The 23,294-nt window shown below is 37.7% G+C and overlaps 1 protein-coding gene across 3 annotated transcripts in view; it reads right to left on the bottom strand.

The window, feature by feature from the left end:
- Nucleotides 1-23,294, bottom strand: part of IL1R1 (interleukin 1 receptor type 1) — a 109,485-nt gene that overhangs the window by 77,006 nt on the left and 9,185 nt on the right. The window contains exon 2 of one of the 3 annotated variants that reach the window (XM_011511115.3): nucleotides 1,508-1,605. The exons of the other annotated variants lie outside the window; for them this stretch is intronic. The gene's annotated coding sequence lies outside the window, so the exon portion shown is untranslated. The remainder of the gene's footprint in view (nucleotides 1-1,507; nucleotides 1,606-23,294) is intronic. 3 annotated transcript variants of the gene reach the window in all.

The following is a 23,294-nucleotide window of genomic DNA, read 5'->3' as shown; positions in this document are numbered from 1 at the left end:
CTCCAGTTGTATCCATGTTGCTGCAAAAGACATGATCTTGTTCTTTTTCATGGCTGCATAATATTCCGCGGTGTACATGTACCACATTTTCTTTATCCAGTCTACCACTGATGAACATTTAGGTTGATTCCATGTCTTTGCTATTGAGAATAGCGATGTAATGAACATCATGTCTTATGGTAGAATGATTAATATTCCTGTGGGAATATACCCAACAATGGGATGGCTGAGTCAAATGGTAGTTGTGTTTTAAGTTCTTTGAGCAATCACCAAACTGCTTTTCATAGTGGCTGAACTAATTTACATTCCCACAAGCAGAATATAAGCATTCCCTTTTCACTGCAACCTTGTTGGCATCTCTTATTTTTTGACTTTTTAGTAATAGCCATTTTGACTGGTGTGAGATGATATCTCATTATGGTTTTGACTTGCATGGAAATTTAAATTCTTTAGGCCCATTTTACAGGTGAGAAAACTGATTGAGATTATGTAAATACTTTCCCCAAGCTCCCTTAGTCAGGCAGGGGTAGAGCCCAGGTGGAGCCCAGGCTTGCATTGCTCTTCAAGTGTTACCAGGGATCCACCGCAATTTACTTGACAACAGGTCTTATCTACTCAGGAACAGTGCAAGTTCCTAGCAGCCATTGTCTCATACTTCCTGGTACCCTTTCCAGAGAGCACCCAAAAGACCTTCCAATTCCAGGCTATTTCCAAGCAGCTGGATTAATTGGCAGATTATTAGTTCAAGGACTTTTCCAGCCCTCTTTTCCACTCCAGATGATTTCTTCTCTCTTGCTCCTTCCTACTTCTCAAAAAGGAGAAAAATTGGAGGAATCTGCACTGTTTAGTTAACCTGTGTGAACACACACGCCACACACATGCACCCACACGCACCCACACACACGCTTTTGCCTGGGTTTTGTCAGCTGTGTTGTTCCCCTACAGAGTTCAGGGAAAACAAATAGTCATAGTTGGCAACAAAAATTCAATATCAGAAGTTAATGGATAATCTCTCAAACTCTAGGGTCCTTTATGAATGCTAAAGTATAGAATTCCCTGAGCCGAGCCCAGAGCTTTTAACATTTAAACTATCAGAAGACGTCATTCTAACACAATTTTATCAGTAACATGGTCTTTGACAAACTCCAGAATGTCTGTGTTTATACATAAAAGGTCAGAAATAACTCAAGTATTTTCCCAGAATATTCTTATGGAAAAGTTTACACATTCAGAATTGATTTGCATTTATGAATATCTTTAATGTGGCTGTAATCCATGTGTTTCTTATACCTCCCAATTGAAAAAGGAGAATAGGAAGAAGCACGTACAGTATGTGTGTGCATGTGTGTGCATGAGCATGTGTGTATGTGTGTGCATGTTTGTGCAAGTATGTGCAACCCTAGAATCTAACCTTGGCTCCCCCTCAACATGCTATGGGTCATTAAGAGAGGGCAGGAGACTTCTGCTTTCCTAAGTCCAGCAATTCTATAATTAGAGAGACACCAACCTGGACGCCAGCAGACCTGGGTTAAAGAGCTAAGCTTCAACTTCATCTATGTATCTTTGGGAAAATCACTTCATCTCACTGGATCTCAGTTTCTACATCTGAAAAAACAAAACAAAACAGTATAGTCTAAACTCTTGGGACACAAAGTGTGGCCCATAAGCCAAGAGCATCACCAAGGAGCACGATGGAAATGCAGAACATTAGGGCCCACCCCAGAACCACTGAATTCAAATCTATATTTGACTAAGCTTTCTGGGTGACTTGTGTGGACAGTAACACAGGGAGTGCTAATTGACCTGATCTCCAAAATGCTTTCCAGTGTGACACATTCTGTTAGTTTAACCTTTGTCTCTTTACACTAGAGAATTAACCATGCCATCCCCGATGGCCACTGGTAACCTTTGTGGTCAGGCCCTAAGGATCTGACTTGAGTGCCTGGCTGCTTATCATACTCCTATTCCAGGCAATGATACATGAACAATTCGTATCATCCCCATGACTCTTCCAGACCGCACTGTGTCCAGCTTTCTATCAAACCTCCGGGGAGAATGCCATCCCTTAATTCTTCATACCTCCAGACAGACAGCTTCCACACCCATTACTGAGTTTAAGGGATTTTGCAAGCACAGATGAAGGAATGGGAAAGATTCTAGATGAATGATTACAGGGATAGTCTTTCAGCACTTAAGGAAGCCACGATCACCAAGAGAAAGCATGAAATGACTAAAAACAGGCCAGGTCTGGTGAAGCTCATGCAATCTTTTGTTTGATGAGGTTGTTAGATGGTGAGATTACCACAGTTAAATGCTGTGAACTTAGTGAATCAGAATTTCATGTAAGTATCTGCAAACATCTGTCTTGTGAGCAAAACAAAGAATATGGTTAGTAGAGTTGGATACATGTATAAACACCCATACTCAATGGTAAATGAGTCAATTAGAAGAGTATGCTCTACTGGAAAGCCTCAGGCTCAGTTCCAGGTATTTGGTTCCATCCTGGCTCTCAGGTGTGGAGCTGACCTCTCCTCCCAGAAAAGAGGCAGCCAGGCTGGGCATGGACATGGTCATGGCACTCTTCAATTGTGGAGAGTACAGAGCAGAGGAATGCAGGAAAGGAGGGAGGGTAGAAAGAAGGAATACATTTTCCAAAGGAAGCAAATACAAGTTTAGAAAGCAGAACTGGACACTGAAGCCAAAAAAATTTATCAAATTGGCATTGGCCAAAAGAACCCGACGATGTGCAGATGGTGTGTGGTAATATTCCTGGAGGCCTTGAATGCAGGAAAGGAGAATGCCTCGAGGCCAAGCCAGGGGTTGGGGAGGGAGCTGGGAGGTGCAGAACAGGTTTCTACAGCAGAAGGGCAGAGCAGGCAAGCTTACCACATTCTGGGAGTCCTGGAGTTAAAATGAACTGTGAATTCACTGAGAGAGCAAATCAGGGTCCCAAAAGACGCCATTAAGATAGAACCATAGGCCAAATCTAACATAGTGAGACTTAACACAGACAAATCTAAAATCCCATTCTTAGTTCCCTAACCTCATATTGTTAAGTACAGGACAGGGCATATGAAAAAGCAAAGCACTGGTGGAAAACAAAACCAAACAAATGCCAGAGTCTTGACTGACTAAGACGTCCACAGTGAATGATGTGTGGTAGGAGGCTGTAGTTGCCCTGGTGGAAGTGTACCTTCTGATACAAAGGAGGTCATCACTGGAGAATGCCCTCAGACACGCTCTTGTCATGGCATGCAGAGAAAACAATAACAAAGGCTGTTCATGGCCGAAGAAGACCAGCTAGGCTCTCCCACAGGCCCTTAGACTAAGAGGATTGATATCTGTACACCTGGTAGCCACCAGACCATGCTAGGAGCCATGGTACCCTAACCCAGAGATGGAACGAAGGCCATGGGATAGACGTCCAGGAGGCCAATGTGAAAAAGATCTTCATAACAATAGATTAAGCACTCAGCAATGCAGAGACAGTGTTTGCCCCATCCCTGGAAGAACTCAAACAAAGGCCACTGGATGGGTACGAACATCCAATGGAAACTGCTTCTACCATCTCTTCTAGGCCCTCTAATTTTGGGTTCTTTGTTTTGCCCTCATGACAAATCAATGTTATAAACAGGGCAGTTTCTCACTATTCACATTTTGAAATAGGAAACCAAGCCTACTATGGGAAAACCAAGACTAGGATTTGGATCTACAGACTTTGTTTAACTCCTTTTTCTTCTCTTTTACTCTATCACAATGCCTCGATGTATATTTCTGTGAACTTTGGGCGCGGTGCCTTTTTTAGTTATTTTAGTGAATAAGGAAGTTATTGTGTTTAATAAGGTAAGATGATGTCTTACTGGTATTCATTATATGTCAGGTTCTAAGTATGAGTCACAACCCAATAAATGCATCTGACTTATTGTGCAGTTAAACGTTAGGTGAAACTGTATTGTCTTCAACAGCTCTCTGATACAAATCAACAAGCATCACTAAATCTGCAGGAAGATTCCAAAGGTTCTCATTAGTACAAATTTTAAAAATACTTTTGTTGTAAACAATATAGCCACAGCACAGAAGATATGGGACATAAAGAATAGATGGAAAATTAATTCATGATCTTGCCACCTAACCCCCTTTAGCATTAAGCAACATTCCCACCTACTCTTTTTTTTCCTATGTACATACATCTTTGTAATCTCTTTTGACTTAACAAATAGTTTTTATGCTATTATATGGCTTTCATAATCATACTTTCACTGCAGTGTACTATGCAATTAAATAGGGATTTGATGAAACACAACTTATTCCAGAATTCTTGACTGTCGAATATGACCCAGCTTCTCAACAGTAAAAAGCAAGCATTTTTTGTTGGTTTACCATGTGGACAGGTCATATTATCTTCAAATAATAATAGCTCTGTTCATTTTATTACAGTGCTTTTTACTTTTGTTATTTTCTTATCTTGCTGCATTGGCCAGCAACTCCAGCAAAACATTAAATAAACTAATTCATAATAGTAATTCTTGTATTGCTCCTGATTTAAAGAGAACCAGTGTTTTATAGAGTACAAGATTTACTTCTAGGTTTTTAGTAGACATCATTTATCAGGTTAAGAATGACCTCCTCTCTTCCTGGTTTCCCAAGAGAGTATCAAGAATAGATATTGGATATTATGAAAAACTATTTTTGCATCTATTAATAACAGTTTTTCCCTTACTCTATATATGATATATAATATTAATAGATTGCCTGAGATTAAGCCATCTTTATATTTCTGGTATAATCGTAACACGGTCATGGATTCTCATCTTTTTAAAATCTCCACGGGTTATACACTGATAATTTTATTTCATTTTAAGATTTGTGCCTCTAAGTTGAAATATGATTTTATTTTCTTATACTGGGATTTTCTAGTTTTGGTGTCAATGGTATTCCAGCTTCATATAATATATTAGAATGTGTTTCTTTTAATTTTTATCCTCTAAAAATTTTGTATAAGATTGACATTATCTATTGCTTGAATATTTGGTAGAACTCACTCAAATATCATTTAGGTAAAACATTTTCTTTGTAGAAACTATACTATTTTCTTTATACAAACTATTCTTTGTAGGATAGTTATAATATGAATCAAATATTTAATATTATATGAGACTATTCAGATTTTTTTATTTTTTCTTTAGTCAATTTTGATACATTATGTTTTTCTTGGAATTTGTTTTTTTATCTAAAATTTCAAATGTTTTGGCTTAAAGTCACTCTTGGTATTCTCTTATCTTTAAATATTGCCATGTCCATAGTTATACATCCCTGTTCATTCCTAATATTTTATAGTCTTTTTTCTTTCATCAATATTTCTAGATGAGGGACTTGTACAAGCAGATATCAAAACTTATTACAAAGCTTTAGCAATTAAGAGATTATTGCAAGGATATACAAATAGACCAGGAACAGAATAGAGGAAACAGAAAGAGGTCCACACTTAGATGATATGGTACAGACAATTAATGTTCATTAAATATGTATATATGCTCCCCAAATTTGACACCCTCCCTTGTTTATGGTTGGGACCAAGCCACTAGTCCAGGGCAGTTAAGAGCTCATGTGAGTTTCCATCATCCCTATCTTTCTCTTATATGTGAAGCTATGAAAGAAAATAATTCCTAGCTTGTAGGGTTGCAGGAAGGAAGCAGCCCCGATCCCCGATAAAGTCACCATTCTAAAAGAACCACGAAAAAGAGCCAATGACCAACTTTAGACTTAACAACTGTGAGACGTAAACTTTTGTTGTGCTAAGTCACTGAGATTTCAAGCTTTGCAACTTCATTGTAATATTTCCTATCCTGACAAATACTTATGGAAAGTTAGTACATGACAGAGGTGGCAATGCACGTTGTTCAATAACAGCTTCTGGGACAACAGGCAAAGCATATGCTGAGGAAACAGAATTGGTTCCTTATTTCATCCCATGCAGAAAAAAAAAAAAAAAAGATCCACTTCAGATGAATCTCATACTAAGGCAAAATCTCCCATCTTTAAGAATAAAATACAAAAGAATATATTTATCTAAGAGAATGTCAGGATGGTAAAATTAAAAGTTTTAAAAAGACTCAAAGGCTTTAAAATATATAAAGATTAATATATTTGCCTACATTATTATTAAAAACTTCCACTCACCAAAAGACATCATTTAAAAAAATAAAAGACAAGCCAGAAGAGGAAGACATTTATAACACAAATAACTTATAAAGAGTTAGTAACACAAACATGTAGAATGCCTAGAATCAGTTAGGAAGAGAAAAAAAAATATTAAATAGGCAAAAAAAGACAAAAACAGGCATTTTACAGAATAGAAAACCTGAAAGGCCAATAAACTAAATGAAAAGATACCTAACTTAAAAACCCAAGGAAATTAGAAACACAAATGAGAAACTATTTCACATTTCCGAGGTAGGCAAACAACTTTCAGAGTCTAACAAACCAGATGTTGGCAACAAGTAGAAACTCTGTTTGATGTGATATAAATCACTGCAACCACTTTGGAAAACAGTTTGAACACGTGCCTATCTGAAGGTTCAGCTTAAACTTTGTCTAAAGAATATCATGAGTACACACCCTATGAGGCGAGTAGAGGAACACTCAGAGAAACATTTTTCATAATAGCAAAAAATCCTGTAAAAGTCCCCAAATTCATTGAGTGGAAAATGAATGCGTCAATTACAGTATATTTACACGCTGAATAGGACACAGTGTGAAAACTAAGTTGTGCTACATATATTGACAGGAATACAGCTTAAAAACAAAACGTAAAATGAAAAAAGGAAGAATAGTGCATTATTTTTATAAAATTTTTTCTTTTTTTTTGAGACAGAGTCTGGCTATATCGCCAGGCTGGAGTGCAGTGGCACGATCTCGGCTCACTGCAAGCTCCGCCTCCCGGGTTCAAGTGATTCTCCTCCCTCGGCCTCCCGAGTAGCTGGGATTACAGGCACGTACCACCACACCCAGCTAATTTTTCTATTTTTAGTAGAGATGGGGTTTCACCATGTTGGCCAGGATGGTCTCGATCTCCTAACCTCATGATCCGCCCGCCTCGGCCTCCCAAAGTGCTGGGATTTCAGGCGTGAGCCACCGTGCCCGGCCTAAAAATCTTTAAATGAAGTAAAATAATGTATTTTTTATATGCAAACATAAATGCTAACACTACAGAAACACTGACGTTCAGAAGAGCAGCTATTTCTGGGGGGAAGCAGGGAGGTAGAAAGAGAGGTATACAGAAAACTTCAAAGATGCCAATTATGTTCTATTTCTCAAATTACTTAGCAAGTTCATGGGTGCATGTTGTTTTCAACCTAAGGCCTTATATGGGCCTTATACATTACATTTATTCTCTGAAATTTTCCAGTATTCTTTAATGTAAAAATTTTTAAGTAATCAATGTCCTCTCATCTTCTTGTTTTTAAAGAAAAAGAAAACACTTTATAATGAAACTTCATCAGAGGAAACAGAATTTATAAGCAAGTGGAAGTTTTTTCCTAACAGATAAATTGGCTTCCTTTCCTGCATTCTTTATCATCACTGCAATCTCTTTTTGCCATAACACAAGTTGAGTGTTTTGTTTTATCCTTTTCCCATCACTATCACATACACACAGGGCACCATCATGACTTGCTGTGCAAGGATTGCATGTGTGTGACTCAGGGGAAAGACTGGTTTATGATGTGGCAATGAGAAAGGACACCGTGTTGGGGGAGGGGCCTAAAGCTGAAAGGTTAAACTCTTAGGAAACAGCTGTGAAGTGGCGTATCTGTTAAGTATTGTCATATGTATAAGCCCATGAAACCATCACCACCACCAAAATAGTGAATATGTCCACCATCCTAAAATTTTTCTCACGCCCCTTTGTAATTCGTCACTCTTGCCCCTCCCCAGGCCATGACTGATCTGCTTTTCTGTTACTAGTGATTAGTCTGCATTTTCTAGAATATTATATCAATGGAAATATACATACATATATGCACATATATGTGTATATGTGTGTATATATATGCAACCTGTTCCAATAAAAGAAAACCTGATAAGAAAAATATATATATTTCTATTAACCTGTTCTGTGTCTGTTGGCTGACTGCAACCTGGTAACGCACACATAAATTGAATTATCTAAATCAGTGAATAATAATAGGTTTTGATATAAGAGTTAATGACTTGATGATGGCCTTCATACACAACTTAATTGTCAAGACATTTGTTTATAAAATGATAAATACACAAAGTAGCCTATGAGTTATAGCGTACTAAAGTTTTCCTTTCAACCGTTTCATAGAAAAGAAAAAACCTGAAAATACTAATACTTACAGGACAGAATTTGTACTGTTAGCAAGAATAGCTTGTATCTCATGTAGGAACATATTTGACTTTTGCTTCTGTGTTAAAACTTTGACAAAGATGATTTTGAATAAAGTTTCTTTATAATCAGACCCCATATCTATCAGGTTCTCTGATACTGTAATTTAACATCACTATTGGGCCTAAATAGCATTCTGTAAATGCTTCAATTGGTATTAATCATGATCATCTTAACATCTGTAGAAAAATAATAAACAAGGTCATAAATCCCTCACTACACAATTTCACGTTTTCACCAGCATTTTATTCTTTCTTTAGAAGACTTAGTCAAAGACTCAGAATTATTTCACATTTAGAGTTACATGTGCTTTATTTTGCCAGTGAGTGAAAATATTAAAGTACTTGCATGATGAAATTGAATGGTAGTATTTTGTAGTCACTTCTATTCCACTTCCTATTAAAGTTTTATATGTGTGGTTGGTTGGTTGGTTGGTTTTGTTTTGTTTTGTTTTCCCCAGGGCAGATCATGGTGTATTTCTGCTGCAGGTGAAGCTCAGGACGGAGGCAGGTTCTGGAACCGGGCGTGGCTGGACCCCACACTGCTGCAGGAGGACTGGTCCCGCGGGGATGCCCCACTGCAGCTGCCGGGAGCCTGCTGCCCCGCGCGTGTCTCCTCGGACACTCAGAGGAGGTGGGGACCAGGGTCACGCGGAGGTCCCACTGCAGGTAGGGCCAGACCAGGTGCTGGGGAGTGGGGCGGCTGACACCACTGGACTTGCATCCAGAATATGTAAAGAACTCTTAAAAAGCAATACAAGAAAATAAATAAGCCAATTGAAAAATGGGCAAGAAATATAAACAGATCCTTCACCAAGGAAGATATATATGGATGGCAAATAAGCACACGAAAAAATGCTCAATATCACTAGTCCTTGGGGAAATGCAAATTAATCCAGAATGCGGTACCACTATATACCTCTTAGGATGGCTATTATGGAAAGTTTGAACCATTCCAAGTGCAAGGGAGGATGTGGATGAACTGGAACTCAAATACTGCTGGAGGGAATGTAAAATGGTACAGCTGCTTTGGGAAACAAATTTACATTTTCCCCAAAAGTTAAACATATACCTGTTATCTAATCTAGACATTCTACTTCAAAATACCCCAAAGAAATGAAGACTCACAAGGGTTTTCCGGAAAGGACTTTTGCTAGCTTTCTCAATAACATAAGCTAGATTGATGACATTTTCTTTTCTGTCCCTTAAAATGACTGCTCTTCATTTGATTCTCCACCCCTTTTTTTTCTCCTTCACCAACTTCAACCACTAACTACCTTGGGGAGTTTTGGCCATAGGAACTTAAATCCTCAGAAACGTTCTACGTGAGTTACTTGAATAACAGGCAATTCCACTAAGGCAACTATTATTTTCTTATCAATTCTTAATGAACAAAAGTGGAAACAAGTTAATAATCACCCACTTATTCCAAAACTGCTAATCAGCACCTTCAAGTCTCAAGGTCTTGGAGATGTCTATATGTAGTTTTGGTTTAGGTATAGAGCAATCTCTCTTTCTGGCCTCTGAGTTTTCTTCTCTAAGTACATCTTGGCGAAATTTCATTCAATCCTGAGTAAACCTCTATAGACAAGATGCACTTACTCTGGCTGAAAAAAAAAATCATAGTCATGGAACTAGAGAGCGGAAAAGCATCTTCCTTTGGACACGGCTCCACCCCCATCCTTTCTTCTCTTGCTGCCCTCCCACCATCCCTGTTTTGCCAGTAAATTCCAGACCTTTTCAGCAAGAGTTCACTGCTAGAAGAATTAGTGTCATAAACATGCTCCCCTTTGCCCTGTTCTCGGAGTTTATATGAGGCGTGCAAAATTTTCAATGTTACGTTTAGAACAGGCCCGAGTGTTATTTAGCTCATTAATGAGGAAATGAATAGGGAAAAATCCCAAAAAGAATTGGTTTAAAGAGCACTTAAGAAACATAGATTTCTATAGTTGGTCAGGAAATGAATATCAAAATAAGAGTTTCAAGACCTTCTGCTTCCTGGGAGGATTTAATTGATAAAGGATATTCTGGATAATGCTACAATGATTGGACAAACATGGATAAATTGAAGAAGCTGTATTTTTTTTAAGAATCAAAGAGCTAAGAAAACGACTAGGAGCGGAAAAACAAAATTTTCAGAGAAGAGACAATGACAATGATTAAGATGAGAATTGATGATTGCCAGCCTCCCGCCCCTCTGCCAACATTACCAATTTTGGCTGCAAGCTGAAGACTTGGCTTGACCCACACAGAGGACCTCTGCTGGAAAAAGAGAAAGCAGCAAAGCTTTTAATGGTTATGTGGGGCTACTCTGACAATCAGAAGCTTGAGGGGGGTCTCAAACAAATGATGAGTTTGCAAAATAGGGATTTCCTGAGTTCTGGGATAGTGTAGGTAACTGGAAATGGATGTGGAAGCTTTGGAAATGGCAGAGTAAAATCTCATGAAGCTTTAAGTTATTACATATCAAAAACCTTCTATTCAGCCATTAAAAAGTAATGATTTTATGTCATTTGCAGCAACATGAATGGAACTGGAAGTCATTACATTAAGTGGAACAAGGCAGACACAGAAAGACAAATTTTGCATGTTCTTATTCTGTATAGGAGCTTAAAAAGTTAATCCCATGAAGGTAGAGAGAAGAATAATAGATAGTAGAGGCTGGGAAGGCTGTGTGGGTAAAAGACGGGGATAAAGAGAGCTTGGTCAATGGGTAAAAACATACAGTTAGATAGAAAGCATATGTTCTATTGGAGAGCAAGGTAGGGTGACTATAGTAAGCAACAGTGTATTGTCTATTTCAAAGTAGTTACAAGAGAGAACTTGAAATATTCCCAACGTATAAAAATGGTAAATACTCAAGATGGCAGATACTCCACATACTCTGACTTGATCATTACACATTCTATGAATGCAACAAAATATCACATGTACCCCATAAATATATAAAATAGTATGTATAATTTTCAGAAAGAAGAAAAGGATACATTATCCATGAAGCTGCCTTGTTAATTTCCACTTTCTCAAGACTATAAAATCCACTTCCACTTTATCAAGATTACAAAATCAGCTTTCAAAGGATAATGGCCAATAAAGTGAATGTATTTTAGAAACTACTGTGAACCATAAAGAGGCAATGTTTGTCAAGTACATACACTCATAGGCTATCCAAGATGCTGTTAAAGATTGATAGATTAAAAGAAAGAAAGAAAAAAAACTACTAGAAGAAGCCCTGCCTCAAGCACATAACCTGTTTTCCATCAAAACATTTGCCAGATTTTTCATCTCTATGAGACTGATCACTTGAGAGCTGGGCTGTGAATCTCTGGAGGGTATATCTGGTTCTCCCACAATTTTTTTGGAACTAAGGCAACAGAGACTCACAAGGCTCTCTATGAAAAGCCCAGAAAAGTCTCAATTGAGAAACACAAGTAAACCAAGTTCTAATGTGTTTTACTAAAATGGAAAATTCTGGTTGGACTGAGTTTACCAATACCTCATTGCATCTACTGAACAGAAAAGAAGAAACTCCCTGATCATTAATAACATTAGCCGAAGCCTCTATTGTCCTCTCATACACATTGTTTGGCAAAATTAAAAATTTACCACAGAGACGAGAAAATATGGCTAATAATTAAGAGAAAAAAGCAGAATATGGAAGCAGCTCACATGTAATCAAGAAATTATAGTTAGCAAACTAAGACTGTAAATAACTGTGATTAATACCCTCAAGAAGATGCAGAAAAACATGAACTAAACAGGTAAAAGGATAAAAAATACCAACAATGGATTGAAATCTATAAAAAGGAATCTAATAGACAATCTAGAACTGAAAAATATAATAGCTGAAGTGAAAATTCAGCTGATGGGTTAACAGCTGATTAAACACAGCAGACCACAGGTTTTGCAAATGTGGAGGTAGTTTAACAGAAAATATCAAAACCAATGCATAGAGAGAAAAATAATAAAAAGAGCGTAAGAGATATGCATGATATACTCAAGAAGTCTAACATATGTATAATTAATCTTAGAAGAAGACAGAAAGAGCAAATCAGAAGCAACAGTTGAAGAGATAGTGGCCAAACGTTTTTCAAAACTGGTGAACCACATTTTCATGGGGCTTAGCAAATTCCAAGTTGGTGGGAAAATAATATTTGATCTGATTGACTTATTTGTTATTACATACCCCCAACATAGAACCTTTGTGGGGATTTAGGTTCCTGCACCCAAAACTCCCCATGGTAGGTGGTGGTGGTGATGAGGAGGGGACAAAGGACTAGAAGGCCAAATTACAAAAAAAAAAAAAAAATTGAAAAAAAAAGGATAGGCTGGGCGCAGTGGCTCATGCCTGTAATCCTAGCCCTTTGGGAGGCTGAGGCAGGCGGATCATGAGGTCAGGAGATCGAGACCATCCTGGCTAACATGGTGAAACCCTGTCTCTACTAAAAATACAAAAAAATTAGCCGGGTGTGGTGGCGGGCACCTGTAGTCCCAGCTACTCAGGAGGCTGAGGCAGGAGAATGGCGTGAACCCGGGAGGTGGAGCTTGCAGTGAGCCGAGATCGTACCACTGCACTCCAGCCTGAGCAACAGAGTGAGACTCTGTCTCAAAAAAAAAAAAAAAAAGATAAACCAAAGATAACTACACCTTGACCCATCATAATAAAACTCTTGAATACCACAGACAAAATAGCAACAATTTAAAAGCAGTCAGAGAAACAAAGGCATTCAGAGGAAGACTTACAACTGCCTCCTTGATAGAAACAGTGAAAACTAGAAGACAACGAGGTACAAACAGACCTCATTTTATTTCACTTTGCTTTATTGTACCTCACAGATACTGTGGGGGTTTTTGTTTTGTTTTACAAATTGAAGGTTTGTGGCAACCATGCATCTGGCTCTATCAGCTCCATTTTTCCAACAGCATGTGGTAACTTCATATCTCTGTGTCACATTTTGGTAATTCCCACACTATTTCAAACTTTATTATTATTATATGTTATGGTGATCTGCAATCAGCAATATCTGATGTTACTATCGTAATTGTTTTGAGGTGACACAAACCACACTCATAAGACAGAAAAGTTAATAAATGTGTTCTGACTGTCCCACAGACCAGCTACTCCCCCATCTCTCTGTCTCCTTCCTATTCTCTGAGATGCAACAATATTGAAATTAGGTCAATTAATAGCCCTACAAAGACCTCTAAGCATTCAAAGAAGAGTCACAATTCTCTCACTTTAATAAAAACAAGAAATGATGAAGCTTAGGCATGTTGAAAGCCAAGATGGGATGAAAGCTAGGCCTCTTGCACCAGATGGTTAGAAAAGTTGTGAGTGCAAAGTAAAAATACTTGAAGGACATTAAAAGTGCTACTCCAGTGAACACACAAATGATCAGAAAGCAAAACAGCCTTATTGTTGATATGGAGAAAGTTTCAGTAGTGTCAATAATAGATCAAAACAGACCCAACATTCTCTTAATCCAAAGCCTAACACAGAGCAAGGCCCTAACTCTTCAATTTTAGGAAGGCTGAGAGAGGTGAGAAACCTGCAGAAGAAAAGTTGGAAGCTAGCAGAGGTTGGTTCATGAGGTTGAAGGAAAGACGCCATCTCCATAACACAAAAGTGCAAGATGAAGCAGCTAGTGTTAATGTAGAAGCTGCAGCAAGTTACACATATCTAGGTAAGATCATTGATGAAGGTGGCTACACTAAACAACAGATTTGCAATGTAGACAAAACAGCCTTCTGTTGGAAGAAAATGCCATCTAGGACTTTTATAGTGGAGAAAAGAAGTCAACGTCTGGTTTTGAAGCTTCAAGGGACAAGCTGACTTTCTTATTAGGAGCTAATAAAGCTGGTGACTTTAAGTTGACGCCAACGTCCATTTCTCATTTCAAAACTTAGGCTACATCTACTCTACCTATGCGCTATAAACTTAACAACAAAGCCTGAATGACAGCACATCTGTTTACAGCATGGTTTACTGAATATTTTAAGCCCACTGTTGAGAGCTAGTTCTCAGGGGAAAAAAAAAAAGATTCCTGTAAAAATATCACTGTTCATTGGCAAGGGAACTGGTCATCCAAGGGCTCTGATGAAGATGTAAAAAGAGATTAATGTTTTTTCATGCCTGCTAACACAATTTCCATTGGATCAAGAGGTAATTTTGACTTTCAATTCTTATTATTTAAGAAATACATTTTGTAAGGCTATAGGTGCCATAGATAGTGATTTTTCTGATGGAACTGGAAAAGTAAATGGAAAACTTTCTGGAAAGGATTCACCATTCTAGATGTCATTAAGAACATTCATGGTTAATGAGAGGAGGTCAACATATCAACATTAACAGGAGTTTAGAAGTTGACTCCAACCCTCGTGGATGACTTTAAGGGGTTCAAGACTTCAGTAGAGGAAGTAACTGCAGATGTGGTGAAAATAGCAAGAGAACTAGAATTAAAAGTGGAGCCTGAAGGTGGAATCAATTGCTGCAGTCTCATGACCAAATTTGGATGAATGAGGAGTTGTTTCTTATGGTTGAGCAAAGAAAGTGATTTCTTGACATGGAATCCACTCTTGGTGAAGATGCTGTGAACATTTGCTGAAATGACAACATGGGTATATTAGTCCATTTTCACACTGCTATAAAGAAAGAACTGAGTAATTTACGAAGGAAAGAGGTTTAATTGACCCACAGTTCCACATAGCTGGAGCAGCCTCAGGAAGCTTGCAATCATGGAAGAAGGTGAAGAGGAAGCAAGGCACGTCTTACACGGTGGCAGGAGAGACGGAGAGAGAGCAAGGGGGAACATGCCACACCTTTAAACCATCAAACCTCATGAGAACTCACACTCACTATCATGAGAACAGCTCCCATGATCCAGTCACCTCCCACCAGGTCCCTCCCCTGATGCACGAGAATTACAATTTGACATTAGATTTGGGTGGGGACACAGAGCCAAACCATATCAAAAGGATTATGAATATTACCTAAACTGAATTGAGAAAGCAGTGTCAGGGTTTGAGAGGATTAACTCCAATCTTGAAAGAAGTTCTACTTTGGGTAAAATGCTGTCAAACAGCATCACATGCTACAGAGAAATCTTTCAAGAGGAGAAGAGTTGATCGCTGTGGCATGGTTAATTGTTGTCTTATTTTAAGAAATTGCCACAGCTACCCCAACCTTCAGCAGCCACCACTCTGGTCAGTCAGCAGCCATCAACATCAAGGGTAGACCTCCCACTAGCAAAAAGATTACAACTTACTGAAGCCTTAGATCATTGTTAGCATTTTTAAGTGAAAAAGTATTTTTAACTAAGATATGTACATTGTTTTTTAGACATAAAGCTACCATACATTTAATAGACTACAGTATAGTGTAAACATAACTTTTACATGCAATGGGTAACCAAAAAAAAAAGAAATTGTGACTTGCTTTATTGCAATATTCACTTTTCTGCAGTGGTTTGGAAGCAAATCCACAATATCTCTGAGATACACCTATAATATATTTAATGTGTGAGTGGAAAATAATTGCAAAACTGGAATTCTACATCTTAAAAAATATGGGCTTCAAAAATGTAGGTCACTCTGAGTAGGTCCACATGTTGTGTATCAATATGCTCAAAAAAATAAAGAGAAACATGTTCAAATAATTTTTAAATAAGATATTGATGAGTGAACAAATATAAAATCTTTGAGAGAGAAAGGGAGGCTAGATAACGTTTAAAAACAGCTGGAAAGAACAGTAACGAGAATTTTTTAATTTACGAGGTGATTCCCAGAGCAGATTAGTGACAGATAAAGAACTAGTGAGTTTTTTACACAGTTGAAAGATCACAAAGAAAAAAAGTCTGTTGAAAAATAAACAGAGCCCCTGGCTCTGCCAAAATATATGTAATTAAAATCCCCAAAAAAAAAGAGGGGGAGAAAGGCGTAGAAAATATTTAAAGTAATAATGACTGACAACTTTTCAAACAGTGAAAAATATTAATTTACATATTCAACAAGCTCAATACAACCCAACAAAGAATAATCACAAAGAAAGCACATCATAAGCAAATTGTTAAAAGCCAATGATAAAGAAAATATCCTGAGAGCAGCTAGAGAAAAACGACCCATCACATACAGGAAATACAATGAAGTGATTAACAACTGAATTCTTATGAGAAAGTACGGAGGCCAAAAGGCATTGGAACAACATACTCTAAGCACCTAAAGAAAACTAAACTGTCAATTAAGAAATCTTACCCAGTGAAACCACCCTTTAAAAATTAATGCCATTATTTGCAGATGGCATGATTGTTTTTCTGGAATATTCACAAGCATGTACAGATTATTAAAATCAGTAAACAAGTTTAGCAGTGCTAGTGGATAAAAGGTCAATATTAAAATCACTTTTATTTCTATCAACGAACAAGTCATAAATGAAATGTTTCAAAAATTACTTCATGTACAAGCTCACTAAAAATAGTAACCACCTAAAAATAAAGCTATTGCTGACACAGACAGTGATTCTTCTGAAAATATGAAAAACATGTAAGTTCCCTACACTGAAAAATTTTAAAAATTGCCAAGAGAAGTTAAAGAATATCTTATAAATGGAGCTATACAATGTAGCATGTTCAATAATTGAAAGATTTGATGTTGTAAAGTTGTCAGTTATTCCCAAATTGATTTATAAATTAATTGCAATCCCAATCAAAATCGCTGTTGGTATTTTGTGGGAATTGACAGGTGATTTTAAAATTCATATGAAAATATTAAATGCAAATAATAGCTATGGCAATCTTGAGGAATAGTAAAGACTTACCCTACTAGATAGCATTTTATATCAGGGCTATAGTAATTAGGACAGCATTTCAGTGAAAATTTATACAAACTGGCCAATGCAATAGAATGAATAGTCCAGAAAAAGACTCATACACACCTACATAGTTACCTGATTTATGCCCAACACGCCACTGAACTGAAGAGAGAAAAGAGTATTCATTTCTCTAAATGGCACTGAATCATTTGGATAGTCAAATGGAGAAATGAAAATTGAACCTTGAGCCACTGCTTAATACCATATCCAAATCTTAATTGTTGGTCTGCAGATCTGAATGTGAAAAGTAAAACAATAAAGCCTTTAAAGAAATGCACAGGAGAAAATTTTTATGACTTTGGAGTAGGCAAATAGTTGTAAAACAGACACAAAATATTCTAATAATCAAAGAAAGACTATTGATAAATCAAGGTGTGTTCATCCAAAGACACCATTAGGGAAATGAAATGCAATCCACAGAGTTGAAGCAGGTATTTGGAATAGATACTGCTGACAAAGTGTTCTTACCCAGAATGCATTAAAAACCACTGCAAATCAGTAAGAAAAATCTAGGTAACCCAATAGAAATACAAACAAAAGGTTGAACTGATCCTTAACAAAAGAAAATATTTAAATGGCCAAAAAATAATTTGAAAAAGTGTTCAACTGCATTAGCCATTGGGGAAATTCAATTAAAGCCAGAATGAAATTGCGGGACACTCTTACCAGAATGGTGAAAATGAATAAGAGAAAATATTAAACGCTGGTAAAGATTTCCATCAGCTGGAACTGTCAAACATTCCCACTGGAAGTACATATTAGCAGAACCATGCTGTGTGGCAGCAGTAACTACTGCTGAGGAACAAATACATATCTTATGACTCAGTAATTTCACTCACAGGTACAAGACCAACAGAAAATAGTAGAAATGTCAACCAAAGTATGTATACAAAAATACTCATAGCAGCCCTATATTTATTAGCCAAAAACCAGAAACTATCCAAATGTTCATCAGCAGTACAATGTATTAATAAATCATAGCATATTCACAAAATATGATTTTGTGAAAATTAATTTAGTTGCCCATGATGAGTTCACTGTTCTGTGTATGCATTATACTTCATTTAAAAGTTTGAAAAGATCCATATTATGTATAAGACTGGTTAACTTTGTACGGGGCGATAAAATCATATCATCTTTGGGGATAATTTCTCAACCAGGATTTTTACTACTGTGAGTTGATTCCGAGCAACCTCTATTATTACAGGGCTGTACGCTGTGTGTATTTATTTTAGTTATTGATTGTGTCAAACCAGACCACCAGGCCATAAAAGAATCATTATTTTGCTGCATTTCCATGTTTAGAACAAATGCCTCTTTTTCCAGCATTCCTGGGAACCAAGGAGGAAACGCACAAAAGATGTCAACGGGCTGTCTTTAGTTTAACTGAGCTTCATTTTACTGGATTTTTTGGTTAGGGTTTTTGTATGGCCTTTCTCATTTGCGCCTCACATTATAACTGCTACATCTTAGTTTTGCAAACAAGAAAATTGAGATTGCGAGAGATTCAGAGTCGCAAGAGATTCAGAGTCGCAAGAGATTCAGAGTCGCTATGAGGCCTTGGTCAAGACCACAGAGCTAAAAGGCAGGGCAAAAACAAAATTAATATTTAGCTAAAGCACATATTGCTATTTCCACTTTTTTTTTTTTGAGGCGGAGTCTTGCTCAGTCGCTTAAGCTGGAGTGCAGTGGCGTGATCTCGGCTCACTGCAACCTCTGCCTCCCAGGTTCAAGCAATTCTCCTGCCTCAGCCTCCTGAGTAGCTGGGATTACAGGCGCCCATCACCATGCCTGGCTAATTTTTGTATTTTTAGTAGAGATGGGGTTTCACCATATTGGTCAGGCTGGTCTTGAACTCCTGACCTCGTGATCCACCTGCCTCGGCGTCCCAAAGTGCTGGGATTGCAGGTGTGAGCCACCACACCTGGCCGATATTTCCACTTTTAAAAAGCATTAGCACAGCTTGTAATTGTTTCTAAGTACCTACTAACTATAGTTTTAGGTACTAGAGGAAAACTCCTAAGTGTGTCATCAGGTGTCAGAACAGAGGGACCCAAGGATGGAAGAGCCCGTATCTGTTTGTGTCAAGGCCAGCTCAGGGATTACCCTTGACCACTCAGACATTCCAGCTACTTCATGAAAGAGAACTAGTAGGATTACACACAAGGGAACAATATTACTTCACCCAGAAATACCTCGGCACTCTGGGGAACACACCATCCATCTGGGGAGAAGGTACCTACCCAAAAGGAAAAAAAAAGTTCTATTCTAGACACTGTCAGTACGAGTCATCAGCTGATGTGTGGAGAATTACATCTACCTTGCATTTTTTTCCAAACACCCACTCAAAGAAAGTGTCCTCTGAAGTGTGGAAATGAGTCAGTGCATGAATCTCACTTTCCTGATGTGGCCCTAGACCTTCTTAGAGTTTAGAGTAGGACTAAGTGTCCTCAGGAAATCAGTCAGCACTTGCTGGGTGCAGAAAATCCCTTCATGCGGAGCATCAGGGGTGCAAAGTCACGTGCCAGCCCTACAGAAGCTTACCATCCCATTGGAGTGGCCCCCTCTGGTCCTCATGACCAGGAATCCTGATGTTTTTGACATTGTTCCTGTTCGTTCATAAAATTGGCTGAGGTCCAAACCTCAGCCTTGAGTACAGTCCCTGAGAGGAAGTTGTTCTTCATACACAAAGCTCTGGTTTCCTAACATGCTTAGTGATTAGAAAAATTTTAAAACTCTTAACAATCTCTGAGAGTACCCAGCCAGCGAGGTTACAGCGAGGCTAGCAGCTCTCATTTGCACTGACCGAGCAACAGTCTACAACATCTCCCAGCAACAAATAGCTCAGTGAAGACAGCCCTGCTGATGGCATGCTCGCTTGAAATATTTAAAAAAGAGAGAGAAAGAGAAATACTATGGCACAATAAGACTCTCTGTCTCCAGGGCGTTTGTTCTGTTTTGTTTTGTTTGATGAAGCAGTTTGAATAAGAAAAATCAAGAAAACCACTACTTCCGTTATCACCTACCTCATGTTAAGTGCATGGAATTATCATGACACTATTCCTAAGAAACTACTTTTACTTTATGCTGATTCTGAAGTTCTTATACCAAGTAAATTAATGATGTTTGAAAACAAAAAGAAAGCAAATGTCCCACCTCAATCCAAAACATTCCAAGATGCACTATACATCCTTGGCTTTAGAACAAACAAGATAATCCTTTTTGAGAAGATTATCAGCAATTTTTTTCTCTTGTGTTTTTCTAACAAACAAAATGGATCACATGGCAAATATATCTCCAGAAATAATATTTAAATTAAAGGATTAGATTTATCCTTTAATTTATCCTTTAATTTATATTTATCCTTTAATTTAATCTAAATTAAAGGATTAATTAAGGCAATGTATAGGAAGGGAAGCAGAGACAAAGATAGTTATAAAGCCAAGAAGGAACAGGAGAACATTTGAAGAAGGAAAGGGAGGACGAGGAAATGAAGAAAACCTGGAAGTGAATGCCAAGGTGTTAGGTTATTTGCCCACATCAACTGACTTAGCAGCTCCAGAGGTGGGACCTAGGAATCTGTGCCCTCCAGGTATTCTGAGGCAGGCTAACATTTGATAAACAATAAACGAAAATGCTCTGTAGCCCATGTTTTAACTTCTTTAAAAGTAGAACTGCCTTTACTCTCTTTCATTCTTCCAAAGCATCCCAGGCAAATGGGCCATTGATAATGATGACTGATGACTGGGTAGTTCATCTCACAGCCACCAACGTAATCAAGAGAGGAAGCCACTGGAGTTGCTCAACCATTAAGCCCAAATCCACTATCAAACTGAAGCCATTAGGACTTCCAGTGTAGCCTGCAACACATGTGTTTCTCTGATATTCAGATGAGAATCAAGTCGCCATTCAGGCCTAATTCGCCTTCGCCTTCTAAACAGGGTGGGGGCAAATCCCCTAGCCCTTTTCTTTGTCAGGAAGCTGGATATTCACTGATAGATGGGGTGCTTTTCAAACCACTGACCCCAGGACAGGGAAGGAGCTGTTATTTCCTGTCCCTTGTACAGTTAGTCTAACTCAATCCTCATTCGTACTCTAGAATGAAAACTTGATCATTTGTAGAGCAATGCCTGAAACCACCGTGGAGCCAGGCTGGTAGATGCCCTGGTACATTGCAGGTTGGAAGATTATTTCCATGGATCTTGGGAGAGCACCAGATGCAGGCCATTGGGTGTGGTTCAAACTCTTCCATCCCAGGCTCCCTTAGCTGGTTGTAACTAATTCAGCATATTTCTGCAGGATTTGCAAAAATCTCTACAGTTAGAAATAGATACTCTCATATATTCTTATTTTAATGAGAATTTTATTGAGATGTCATTCACACAGCATAAAATTACCCTTTTAAAAGTGTACAATTCAAAGGGTTTCAGTATATTCATAGAGTTGCGCACCCATCACCACTATCCAATTTCAGAGCATTTTCATCACCCCCAAAAGAAACTTCATACTCATTAGCAATCACTCTTCGTTCCCCTTTCTTCTAGCCCCTGGCAATCTATATACTACTTTCTGATTCTATAAATTTGCTTATTCTAAGCATTCCATATAAATGGAATTATACAATGTGTGGGCTTCTGTAACTAGCTCCTCTCACTTAGCATAATGCTTTCAAGGTTCCTCTATGTTGTACTGTGTATAGGTAGTACTTCACTCCTTTCCATGGCTGAATAATATTCCGTTGTTTGGATATACTGCATATTGTTAATCCATTCATCCATTAATGGACATTTGGGTTGTTTCTATGTTTTGGCTATTTTGAATAATGTTGCTATGAAAATTGGTGTACAGATTTTTGTGTTGTTAATTATGTCACATAGATACCTAGGAGTGGAATTGCTGAGTCATATGGCAACTCTATGTTGAACATTTCAAAGAACCACAAACTATTTTAAAAGTAGCTGTACCATCTTACATTCCTTCCAGTAATAAATGAGTGTACCAGTTTCTCTATGTCCTCACTAACATTTATTATTTCTGGCCTCTTTCATCCCGTCATTCTAGTGGATGGCATCTTAGTATGTTTTGCTTTGCGTTTGCTAATGACCAGTAATGTCGAGCATCTTTTAATGTGCTTAGCAACCCTTTATCTATCTTCTTCAGCGAAATGTCCATTCAAATCTTTTGCTCACTTTTTAATTGGGTTGTCTTTTTATTGTTAATTTATCAGAGATTTGTGCATATTATGGATACAAGTTCATTATCAGATAATTTGCCAATATTTTATCCCACTCCATGAGCTATATTTTCACTTTCTTAAGAGAGTACTTTAAAACATGAAAGGATTTAATTTTGGTGAAGTGCAATTATCTATTTTGTTGTTGCTTGTGCTCTGGCGCTGTATACTTAAGGAAGCATTGCCCAATTCAAGGTCACAAAGATTTATATTTATATTTCCTTCTAAGAGTTTTGCAGTTCTAGATCATACGTTTAGTTCTATGATTGCTTTTTGAGTAAATTTTTGTGTACAGTATGAGATAGAGATGCAAATTTTTTCTTCACATGTGGATATCCAGATGTCCCATCACCTTTTATTAAGAAGATTATTCTTTCCCCCACTGAATTGCTGGCATCTTTCTTGGAACCAATTGACCATAAACGTAAGGGCATATTTCTGAATTCTTAATTCTATTTTTATTGATTTTTATATTTATACTCTGAGAACATCCTACTGTCTTGGATACCGTTGCTTTGTAGTAAGTTTTAAAATGGGAGTGTAAGTCATTGACTTTGTTATTTTTCAAGATTGTTTTGGATATTCTCCATCCTTTGCATTTCCTTGTGTATTTTATGAGCAGTTTCTCAATTTCTGCAATAAAGGCAATTTGGATATTCATAAGGATTGTGATAAATCTGGGATACATTTGGGGAGTACTGCCATCTTTAAAAAAGTTAAGTCTTCTGATTCATGAACATGGGATGTCTTTCAATTAATTGAGCGATTTTAAAATTACTTTCAATA

This window comes from Homo sapiens, chromosome 2 (genome assembly GCF_000001405.40).
Source record: "Homo sapiens chromosome 2, GRCh38.p14 Primary Assembly".
NCBI lineage: Eukaryota > Metazoa > Chordata > Mammalia > Primates > Hominidae > Homo > Homo sapiens.
The sequence above is the reverse complement of the archived record's forward strand: the minus strand, read 5'-3'. Positions and strand labels throughout refer to the sequence as shown.